The following is a 12537-nucleotide window of genomic DNA, read 5'->3' on the forward strand; positions in this document are numbered from 1 at the left end:
ACTTCTTTACCCTCCAGCAGAGTGATATTTATAGATGACTGGTTCTACATTTTCTGTACCCCACTCTAGGAGTACAATGAAAAAGGTCCTTCCTTCAGTGGCATACTTTAGGAATGGTGCTCTTCTGTCTGGCTTCTGCTTGTGAACAAGGATTTTATGGGGTACTCTTTCATAATTGTTCTTACTCATCAGACCCAAGACTGCCCACATTGCCTTTCCCTTCTGCAAAAAAATGTTAGAGCACCCAGAGAATCAATAGAGGCCTTCAGGTGTGCCCAAATCCCTGTATGTTGGCTGTGTGACTGTCAGCAATCTCATCCTCTCAAACTTGGAAGCTTAGTTTCCTCTTTTTGTAAAATGGGATTAATAACACCCCTGCCAATTACATGGGGTTAGGGTGAGAATCAAAGCAATGATTATAAGGAGCTTTTAAAAGACTAACTCACCATAGGAAGGATGGCATCATTTTTTGTTTGTTTTTCAAGGGTTGAGAACAATTTCTATTAGGCAATACAGCATAATTACTGCAAAAGGCACAACCTTCTCAAAGCAAAGACCACTTAAGTCATGGTATCTCAGGAGCTCACAATTCCACGTTCTGGACTCACTATATCTTTCTCAAGAGGCCCCAGTGGCAAACTGCTTTAGAAGGGACTTGAGACAGAATATGCCAGAAACAACTGAGCCCAGTCTAGTCTACCCCAAAGAGCGATGATGCTTGAGGTCGACCTTTGGACGATGGCAACTGAAGCCCTTTGGCAGTGGAAAGTTCTTTTCTTGGGGGCAGTCTGAAGGTATCACAGTTGCCAACTCTGGCCTGTGGTATTAAAACTAGCAGGAATTCCAAATGGAAAGAGTCAACTCCCATTTTGGAGACCAAGTCCTCAGATTTAGTTTCTCTCTCAACCCTATATACTCAGGGACCCCCAATCCACTGGAAATCACGATACAAAAACACTTTGTGCTCTGTGGCTTTAGTTCTCCTCCTTATTATACATCATACTTGTCTCTGTTAGACTGGACACATCTACTGAGGCACCTCTAGAGTAAAGAAGCAGGGACTAGGCACAGGTTTCATTCCTAGGTGTTGATGGTGGTGATTTTTCATCCTCTGCTCTAACAAAGCAAGGACAGGTATTTATTTCATATTTCTTTAAACTGCTGGGTGAAACATAAACATACTCAAGAAAACTCTCGATGTTTAGTGTTTCTCTAATAAGAAAAGGGAAGGAAAAGGAATTTGGGGAATAGGAATGAGAAAGGGAGGGGACAGGGAGAGAAACACTACTTACGCCGTTTGCAGCCACATTTTTTTATTCTTTTGGGATCTGTGATGTCATCATGACAGGCCTTGCAGTAAAAAAATGCCCTGGAGAAAGAGAATGGAAAAACTGACACGTTTCATAATCCACCCAAATGAAATGAGTACCACATTTCCTCCACGGTGGTGCCAAATTAATGAAACACGCCAGCATTAATTTCCTTTAATCTTTTGAAAGGTTTAGACATTTGCAGACGGAAATGTTTGTTGCAAGACCATTTATTTCAAACACAGGATTCTGTGATTTGAGTTAGTGCTCCTTTTCATAAACTTCCATTTACAAAGAAACTGGGAAAAAAGTTGCTGATGTGACACACTGTGTCTGCTCATTCGTCTTTCATTTTTGAGAACAGCCTTTGATGCTACTCGTGGGGACATGTGGGCAATGAGCCCTGGGCCCTTGGTGGGGAAGTTAAATACAACACCAAAATTCCCACAGTCTGGTCAAATATATATTTGAGGGGGCAGAAGTATGTCGTTTCTCAGTCAAATAAAAATATCAAGCTTGTCACTCTGAAAGCACCTTTTCTGGGCAGCCAAAGGGAGACAGAGTTGAGGAGGTCTGCAGAGAGGGAAAAACGAAAGCCACGAGTCAGTGGGTTCCTCTGTCAAACCCCCTCTGGAGTTTCACAGCTTATTTTACTCCAAAGCTGACTGGACCAATTCCCATGCTATCCAGCCCTGAGAACATGCACTAAATGATGGTTTTCTTCTCACTATGGAGCAAAGCTCAGCTGACCACTGGAAGGGGGTGAGTAGAGCTTATTGAAGCAATAGGTAGGTAGAAGGAGAATGAGATGAAGCACTCAAAAAGAAAATCCCCTAATCTGACTTGAATGTCCATAGGTGATTCCACAGTGCATTAGCTGTGTCAAAGATATTCTGGATAAGAAAAATAAGATCATTCAAGCACTATTTGAAATCACAGTGCCTAGAACAGCACAAGAGGCCTGTGCCCTTTCAGTACTGGGGAGGTGATAAAATTCACTGGAACAACCCTACAACCTTCTGGATCCAAGAACTAACAAAATCCCTGGCTTGTTGCCTTTACCACTCCCAACAGGAAACTGAATGCCAGCTATGAACATGGCCTTTTCTTGACCAGGGCTGCAGAAATAAACACAATTCTTGACCATTTGATTCTTAGGTTCCTTTTTATGTTTTCACAGGACTTGATTTATAATTGGCACTCATTGGAAACCAATGTTAAGACTTTTGGATCCACACGAGGTCTTGGAGATCCTGCAGCCTAAATCTCTGGGACTCAGTGTCCTCATCTGTAAACTGAGGAGGTTGTCGTGGACTGCCCAGTCATTCCATGCTGGGATTCAGCCAGCCCCAGGACTTCTGAATCCAAGTCCAATGCTTGCTCTATCCTAGCAAATTCTCCACTCTTTCTTTAAATGCCAGCTGTCATCTATGTCTCAAAAAAATTAAAAAAAAAATAAAAAGAAATCCTAGCTGACTGTTGACCCTGAGTGGCAATGTGGCTAAGAACCCAATCAATCTGCCTTGGCACAGGAAGAACAGGAAAGTAGAAAGCATCCAAGTTGGGGAAAGTAACTCTGCGTCCACTTCCTTTGGCCATTTTCCCTCCCCCTTTGTTGCTCTTAACACATAATGATAATAACGGTAACAATCATATAGCTAACATCTATAGAGAACAGACTACATGTCAGGTGTGGTTCTAAGTATTTTATAAGCATTAAACATATTTGATCCTCAAACAACCCTTTGAAGGAGGTATGATTATTATTTCTATTTTACAGATAAGGAAACTGAAGCACAGAGAAGTTAAGTGACCTGCCCAAGGCCACACAGCTAAAAGTACCAAAGCTGAGATTGAATTCACATAGCCTGGCACCAGAGCCCAAGGTCTATACTAAAGAGATGATGACATGATAATAAGCCTGAATAGACTTGTGAAAAGATAAAGTTTGATTACTTCATGAACTAAAGTTGGATTCTTTTTTAATTTAATTTTTATTTTTAATTGACAAATAATAATTGTATTATATGTGTGGTATGCAACACATTGAAATACATATACAATGTGGAATAGTTGAATCAAGCTAATTAACATATACATTATACAGATAAAGAAACTGAAGCACACCTTTTGTGGTACGAACACTTAAAATCTACTGTCTTGGCTGGGTGTGGCGGCTGACGCCTGTAATCCAACACTTTGGGAGGCTGATGTGGATAGATCACGAGGCCAGGAGTTTGAGACCAGCCTGGCCAACATGGTGAAACCCTGTCTCTACTAAAAATAAAAAAATTAGCCAGTCATGGTGGCATGCACCTGTAATCCCAGCTCCTTGGGAGGCTGAGGCAGGAGAATCGCTTGAATCCAGGAGGTGGAGGTTGCAGTGAGCCGAGATTGTGCCACTGCACTCCAGCCTGGGAGCCTGGGCAATAGAGCAAGACATTGTCTCAAAAAAAAAAAAAAAAAAATCTGTCTTTGCAATTTTCTGGTATATAATTCATTTTTAACTATAGTCACCACATTGAACAATAGATTTCTTGAACTTATTCCACCTGTCTAACTGAAATTTCATGTTTTAGATGGACATCTCCCCAATCCCTCCCAACCCCAGCCCCTGTTAACCACCATTCCACTTTCTGCTTCTATGAGTTTAACTTTTGTAGGTTCCACATGTAAATAAGAACATGCGATGTTTGCCTGGCTTATTTCACTAAGCATAATGTCCTCCAAGGCTAGGCAATTAAGGTTAATAAGTGAAATGAGGCAAGGGTCGGGGGTGTCCATGGTGATCTGGAGCAGGCAGAGTATCTAAGCTCAGCTGACCTCTGCCAAGTGGCATTTCTTTGCAAGAATCATTCTCTTCCCCACCCATCTTTGCCTCTGTCATGCTCACCTCGCAAAGCCCCTCCCTTACTGCACACCTGCACCTGAGCAACGGAGTTTCGCTGGGAAAGAAAACATGCTGACCTCACTTTAAACCCACAACCATGGATTTCAGGGGCCTTTTCCACTCTTTGGGATCTACCCCATTCTCCTGTTGCTTGCTTTCTCACACTCCAAAACAGCTCTCTCTCCTCTCCTCTCCACTTGCTCCAGCTCACCGTACCCCTCCCACAAGCAGCCTTCAGCTGGTGATCTTGCTTCACCCATCATCAGACCAGCTTTGTGTCCTGCAAGGCTGGCCTGTATGGTCTCCTTGTCCTCTGGTTTCCTGGCCTGCGTGTCCAGTGGAAGGAGTCAGCAGGAGACTAGGGTGAGGGGGGATGAGGTCACCACCTTGACCCCCCGGGTGCCCTCCTGTACAGGTCTATGAAATGGCACACGACAGCCTCTCTCTCCAGCTCCTGATAGCCCTCCTTCCCCTTGACCCCACAGATCTAGGGTGAAGGTGGCTTCCCCTTTCTTGCTAGCTCTGCAGTGCTTGGCCATCCCTTGTTGGTTTTCCTTTACTATTTGCCCATAACTTTACAGTCTCTTCATAAAACTCTCCTCCTTTTTCCCATTTAAGTTTGTCATCTGTTTCTTGCCAGGACAAGAAACAGCACCCACATTTACATATTCATCTCCAATTCACACTTATCCCCAGAACTCCAGACTCTAAGATCCAACCGCCTTATGATATCACTGTGTGTATGTTTAGTACACATCTCCTACCTAACATAGCCCAGATAGAATGCTTAACTTCCTACTACCCAAAACTTGCTCCTTCTCTAGTATCCCTCATCTTGGTTAAGATCAACACAATCTAAGCCCTGACTCTAGCCTTCATCCTTCATTCCTCTTTTTTCCTCACTTCTGCCCAATTCATTGGGGGGTTCTGCACACTCTCCCAAATACAGTCTGAATGGGAACCCACCTCTCTCCACCTCCACTCAGGGGTCAGTCCAAGCTGCCATCATCTCTCACCTAAACTATGCAATAGGCGCTGAGTCTCTCACCTCTTCTCCTGCCCCATTCCTCTCATTCTCTACAATGCAGGAAGAATGACCTTTTCAAAATATACATCAGATCAGCTTAAAGCCATCAATGACTTCCATTTTATAACAGATCCAACCTTTCTATAAAGTGCTTTAGGAGCCAGCCTCTGCCTCTCTCTAACCTCATCTCATACCACTCTCCCCAAATCTATTCCCTAGCCGCACTTTCCTTCTTGGGGTCCCTATCCACAATGAACTTCTTCCCAGCCCATCTCTTCTTCCTATCTGATCCCTGCCTGATGGATTATTTCCCTTCATCTCAATCTCTGCTCAAATACCAACCCCTCTGAGAAGCTTTCACTTATACCCAACCCAAATCAGTGACCCAGTTGCATTAATTCTTTTACCACTAATTATTTTTTAAAAAACTGTAATTCTTTCCTGCCTAGAATATGAGCCCCACGAGAGTTGGGACTTCTCCCCATTGTTCATTTTTCACCACTGTTTCCCTGGTGCCTTGTATAGAGCCTTCTAAATGTAAACGACTTATACACATTTGATGGGCGAATGAATGAGTGAGTTTGAGACTGCTTCCCGGTATTGTTGGGTCTGCCAATTTTTCAGGAGAAATGAGTAATAAGGATTTTTATATAAAAGCTCGTAACTTTTTTCACCTTGGCAACTCATTTGTATTTTAAAATTGTGACTCAAAAGGATCATATGTGCAAGCCAAACTGAGTCACTGAGCCACCGTTTTGTGACTCCTATATTAAAGTCTATGTTCCAACGTTATTTTAAAAGGAAAATATTTGGTGGCAAGGAGGAAAGAGCAAGTACCCAAATGCCCATCCTCAAGTGACCTTCTTAAGACTGCAGTGGGATGGTTTCACTCCTCATTTACTAAAACACTGCATCTGAAGGTTTCTACAAGCTAGAATTCATTAACTTCTTTTGTTGCTTTTTTGCAGTGGAGGGTGCAAACTCGATACGAGATCATCATAATCTACTTTTCCATTTTTACAAAGCTTGTTTAGTTTCATTCAAATCTCCAATGTCCTTTCTGTGGTTTTTTGCAGTCTTCATCTATTTGAGATCCCCTAACTGACAGCATTTGCTTTGACACATCACATGCCATGGAAAATTACAGCCTGGTGTTGTAGCTGATTGTGTCAGCATGTATTTGTGAATACCATAAAGCACTGAAATGAGACATATTGCACTCCCTAATATAGGAGGTAATTTGTTTTTTGGACGGCCTGATATTTGTGACATTCATTAGTGAGAGATGCAATAGGAAATAGAATTACACAAATGGGAGTTTCATGTTATATTTGCTATCTGGGAGGTATACGTGATATATGGTTCTCCTGTGCTCCCCAGCCTCCTGTACTTGGTGCTGAGATGCTGTTTCAAGCTTTTGTGTCTCACAGTCTGGACAAGGGCACAAGCTTCTTCTCCAGGAGACCTGATTGGAGCACAGGGAGAGGGAAGGTTCAGTCCCATTAATCCTAATTTCCCTTCTCAGGTGTACCCAGTTCTCAGGATACTCTTGAACAACCGGGAGATTCTGTGAACTGAGTAGGGAGGTATTTTTCCCCCACAACTCAATCATGGCAATCTTTCCCCAATTTGCAGAAATAAATTTAAGTTATTAGAGCACTCAGTTTAAGAATTCTTTTTCCTTCCAACAGCCCATGTTTTCTTTTTCCCAAAAGCTTCTGTAGCCAGTATGGCTTAGTTTGCTAGAGTGGATGGGGAGGAAGAGGACCCTAAGTATCCACGGTCACATGTCATCGTTCTGTGCTCAGCGTATCAGGCTTAACCTAGGCAAATAATTAAGAGTGCAAGCTCCAACTTCCTGGCTTTATTCCTCACTAGCAGTATGGCTTTGGGCAAGTTAGTTAGCCAAGTTGTGCCTCAGTTTCCTCATATGTAAAGTGGGAAAGAGTAATGCTACCTATCTCATGGGGTTGCGTGAGAGTTTAACAAGTTTTAGATACAGAGAACCTAGTACCTAGAATAGTGCTGGGGTGTAATAAACCCTCCTCTGTAAGAATGTGGTAGTATTATTAAATTTGGTAGAAAGAGAGTGGATTTTAGAAAAGGAAAGACCAGTTCCACTCTGGGCTCCACCACTTACTTATGTGCCTCATGGCCTTGGACAAATCACTTATCTCGATTTTACAGATGAGGAAACCAAAGCTCTGAGTGTTTGAGAAGACTTACCTTCCAGGGTTATTTTGAAGAGCAGCAATAAAGAATGTAGCACACCTAGAACAGGCCTGGCTTTGACTAGGAACTCATTCAATGAAGACAATAGGCTTATATAACTAATGATAGACCTTCACAATTAATAATGTACTTAAAATATTTTATGCAATATTACTGTTGAGCTGAATGACCTGTCTGAACATTTGCATCACATTTTCTGCTAGTAAATTTCTCCAAGTTCATAAGATAGAATCAAATACAATAATATTCCATGTTGTGCTGCAAAGGGCCCTGTGAATTCCTAGGCTGCTTAAACAGGTTTAAGGATACGAATAAAAATGTCATGAAACATGTAGGCCAGTGAAATCCTGTGCTGCACTTACAGTGGCTTAACAATTGAAGCTGACAACTTCAGCCACTTACCTAGGAGGCCACAAATAGAAATAGAGCCAGTTTCATATTCCATCTGAAATTAATCCCAACCTTTTGAAATTCTATTTGGCAGGGAGAGTAGTAGAAAACTGATAATTCTCAAGTAAATTTCCCAGATAATATTAAGTAAAGAGCACTAGATAAGGAGCCAGTTGTCTTGTTATGTTGTTCTGAATCATCAGGAATCAGGATGACCTCGAGCAGTCATTCAGCTCTCTGAGCCCCCATTTTCTCCCTCACAAAATAAATGAGCAGGTAACTAGGCTTCCTAGTTCTAAAATTTTATTATTCTCATTCAAAGATGTGGAATTCACTACATGAACTGGAGTCCGTGGAAGTTTTTCTTACACCAGTTGATGGCCATAGACATGTTAAGGAGTTTTGGGGTTATGGAAGCCTGCCTACTTCCGTGGGTCAAGGTGTCTACAGCCGGGCCAGAAAGAAAGCCAGTTGAAAATAAACTCTTACCTTTTAACTTCTTTGGCATCACTTGCGATGAAAAATCCTAAAGTACCTTCTTGGATCTTAAGATGGTTTCCAGGATTAATTAATATACTGCTCAGTGAACAAAAACAAACAGAGAAGATACATTTGTGAGGTCATGTTCTGAATAAAACCTTGAAGGCTACACCATACTGTTGTGTTTATAGGGGGCCCACTAGTCTAAAGCTTTCCCCAAAGATTTTGTCCAGAGTCCAATGTCCACTGCCCCATACATTTAGTTGGATAATGCCATCATTAAGCACTACTGCTTACTTCCCAGGCTGGCATGCTCCCAGTTGAGGAAATCAAAGCAAATCAAGGTATTAGGGCCTGGGTTTATATAATGGAGCAGTCTAGCTGCCATCATGGGCACATGATTTGAAGCAAAGTCCATCAGAATAAATTCCTTTTGAAACTGCTATTGGTGGTCAACACGGAAGCATTATTGGCCTGATGAAGCTATTGCTACAACAATTTTCCATTAAATGACAGAGCATTAATGGGACCCCTATAGATATACATAAACATCATGTACACACACCACATATTACCGCAGGGAATGGTACAAGACACCCGTAACCAATGCGGAAGCAAGCTGAACGTCTTCATGACATTGATAAGGACATGGAAATTGATTCCATGTACAGCCTTTATAGGAAGAATTGGATTTACCCAAACAGTTTTTTTTTTTAAGTCAGCAGTTGGATATACTTAACAATTCCAGTCTGCTGTTTATAAAAACGTACAGGGTGTTTGAATAAGATGTGTGTCTAGCATGTCCTAATTGAGGCAAATTGAGAAAACAAATGCAAACCTCCCCTTAAAAAAACTTGCCCTGCAGAGAAGTGGGAACCTAAATATACATTGTCCTATTTCAAAGTGGCATAAATAGATTAGCGGACCAAGTTGTGTTTGGACTGACAGAAGAGATAAATGTATCCTAATCTAATAAATGGATGAAACAAACAAGTTTAATTTTCTGCAGATCAAAAGCAGAATACAAGATTGTCTGATGCAGAGACTGAGAAAAGACTTCAGGCTTAATGGATACTGAATTCAGGGATTCTGAATAAAACAACAGATACAACAGAGGTATTCCTTGTTCTGAAAAGATGTTGCTTAATAAGGTAATAGATATTTGGAATCAGTCTAAAGGAAGTTCTCAGCTGCCCCAAACAATCAAAATATAGAGGATGGTAATTAACACATAATCTTTTTTCCTACTGATAAACCATTCCAGAGAAGTGTTGTGGTCATGAAGTGATACGTCTGTAGTCATACAGGAAGGACCCAGGTGAACCTTTGTTCACCTGGTTGGGAGACCTCCGAGCAGATCATTATTGCAAAATAATTTTTTGTGGTCACAAGAACATCTACCATTACTTATAACAATACCTGACAGGAGGAAACTGTACTTGTGTCATGACTATTATTAACACTCAATAATACCAAAAGGCTATGAAGATTTAACTGTTCTGCCCTACAACCACAGGCAGCAGTGAGATTCCTCCCAAATCAGACAGCAGCAGTCCACACTAATAGCACGGCCTGCACTGAGCAGCGGCTCTCCATAAGCACCTCCTAATGACCCCTCCGCCAACTCTTCACATGGGTATAACAAGCCCTCTGACTTCATGCAATCACGAGGGTGAAGTGTTAGAGCTCATACAGTTTAGATGAATTTATCTTTCAAAGCCAATTCAGTATGATGTTTTAGAAAGGCAGGATTATAAATTTTGCACATTTTTTTAACCTCCTTTCCTGCAAGGCAGTTTTTACATGCCCTGGCTCTGCAATCAGAATTTGGGTCCAAATTCCAACACTACCACTTAATAGCTGTTTGACTTTGGGCCAGTTACTAAATATCCCTAGAACTCAACTTTCTTACCTACAAGAGGTGGATAATGGTAACAATAATCTTTAGAGAATTAAGAGAGATGATGTATAGAAGGCTCAATGCATGTGGGTTATTGTTCCTTTTTTTAATTCTTGCAAAAAAAAATCCAAAGTGTATTTCATTTTCAACAAAGTTATCACAGATTTTCTCTAGCTGACCCCATGGAATATAATACAGTCTTCTTATCAAAATACCTTGCCCATTAATGAGATGAAATTATAGGGTAAAGAACTGTACGCTACAGAATAATGTATAAGGACATACACAAAAAATTCCATGCACTGGCTTTGCAAATGCAGGTAAGCCTCACACTTCTCATCTGTAAAATGGGTCCTGGCTTTGCAAATGCAGGTAAGCCTCACACTTCTCATCTGTAAAATGGGTGAATAATCGCTAGCTTACAATGCCTCTAAGAGAGTTAAAGTATGTACTATGTGCTACATGACTGACACATAGAAGGTCTTAAATTCTTAGTTGCTACTCTCAGTGAGCTAGGTGATTATAAAACTGAGAGGTAAAAAAATCCTCACAGCACCATCACCCTCCACTTTGTCCCTGCTGCTAATAAATGACCCAGGAGGTGCCCTATTGGCATTGAAAGACTTTTCCACTGACTGCAAGGAAATCCAAAGCATTTTATCCCTGCACAATATCTGGTGATGGGCTAATTTAGACTGACTTTTGTCTGCACAGTGAAGTATCCTGTGTTCCTTAAATCTATGGCTGATTGTGTAAGGAATCGAAAGCATCTCTAATTACCTCACAGATCATGTGGATTCCAGGATGCCCTCTTATTCCCTGTGAACAGGGGTGAGGGGGTTTAAATCATCCCCATGTGAGGTGTAAGGCAGAACCATTTGCAGATACTAAGCTAAGGCTAAGGCAGCCTTCTGGGTGGGAATCTAAAGAATGGATCCAGTCCTTGAAATAATGAAAGAAAGAAATCTAGATACATAAAGATGCTCTTGGCGCTGAAGCACCAGAAACTACATTACTGGTTTTTGTTTTTGTTTTTAATATTTTCGACATTAAGTCTTCTATACACATTCCAAATCTAGAAAGTTTAAATAAAATGCTAATCCCCGTCTTCTTCAAAATATAAAAAGACAAGGATTCTGGATAGTGATAACCTTCTCCCCCTTTTGCCTACTATCTTTAGAATTCGTTATTGACCTTCTAATAGGAACACATAAATTTTTCCAAGGATCTCTGATCTCTTTAGGAGAGTATCCAATGTTAAGTTTGTTTTGTTCTACTGACTGCCAAAAGTCTCTCTCTCTGTGCGCCACTCTGAATCAGTTCTCTAGCTCCAACTTTATATAATTCACTAGTTTATCAGAGATAAACTTCAACATGTGTCATGTGAAGAATCAGGAAAATCTCTAAGAGAAAAAGCCCATATATCCATTAACAGAATTCCAACAAGGACATGTTGGCAGAGGTGGACTTTCCCTCATTTCAAGGAACATATAAATTATCCTTTCTTCTTTGACCTTACTGGTTTCAACAGAAAACATCCAGTGACAGCTGGAAGCACGGGGCTGGTGTGGTCCCTTGCTGTCTCTGTTTCTTTTGCTCTCAGACTAGTTTTAAGTCTCGACTTATTCTTTGTTTACTCACCTCCTACATGGAGCAAATACGTATTTTCTGTAAGGAACCCACAGTTGAGTAGAGGGGTACAAAACATGATCACATTCTATTTACCTTTGAGTTTCCTGGAGTAGCAGGCTTAGAGCCTTGCACGCAACAGGCACATTTCAACTATTTGTTGAATGAATAAAAAAAATAAGTTTTTAAAGCCTCAGTTCCATAAGTTTTCCTTTTTTTCACAAATAAGTGGAAAGGAGGTCACAGTTTTCTTTCAAAGAACAAGCTACAATTCTCATCAGTCAGGCCGATTAAAGGAGTGACCACACCTCTGCTAGGGCTAGGGGATTGGCCAATGATCTAGCAATCTCTCAGATGTGTTAAGTATGAATATGTAAATATCCCAATATGTAAACAGCCTGCCACTTGCAAAGTTGGGGCAATTGATTTCAACATTGAAAGCAAAACTTCAAAGAGAAATATGGGTTCCTAGACATAAAACACATCTACGTGCAATTGGCTAGCGGGGCTCAGTCCCGCAGGGAAATGCCTCTATCAGGTCCCTCCATGAGAGGAGCACCGCGTCTCAAGTTGTATCACATTTCATTGGGTATCTCTCGCTAAACACTGGTCAGGTTGGAAGACTGCAGCTTGATGGAGGAAAGTAATGCATTCCTTTCTCCACCACTTGTGCATAACT

At 41.2% G+C, this 12537-nt stretch overlaps 1 protein-coding gene across 56 annotated transcripts in view; it reads right to left on the minus strand.

Moving 5' to 3' along the window:
- KCNMA1 (potassium calcium-activated channel subfamily M alpha 1) overlaps positions 1-12537 on the minus strand; it is a 768207-nt gene that overhangs the window by 141073 nt on the left and 614597 nt on the right. For 54 of the 56 annotated variants that reach the window (NM_001271518.2, XM_017016222.3, XM_024447990.2 and 51 more), the window contains 2 exons: positions 8339-8425; positions 1293-1369 (listed from right to left, as the gene is read on the minus strand). In NM_001271518.2, the coding sequence (NP_001258447.1) occupies positions 1293-1369; positions 8339-8425 (164 nt within the window). Of the gene's footprint in view, positions 1-1292; positions 1370-1524; positions 1884-8338; positions 8426-12537 lie in introns of those variants that run through there. The other 2 variants (XM_047425201.1, XM_011539784.3) reach the window with 1 other exon arrangement.

The sequence above is a fragment of the Homo sapiens genome, chromosome 10 (genome assembly GCF_000001405.40).
Source record: "Homo sapiens chromosome 10, GRCh38.p14 Primary Assembly".
NCBI classification, from domain to species: domain Eukaryota; kingdom Metazoa; phylum Chordata; class Mammalia; order Primates; family Hominidae; genus Homo; species Homo sapiens.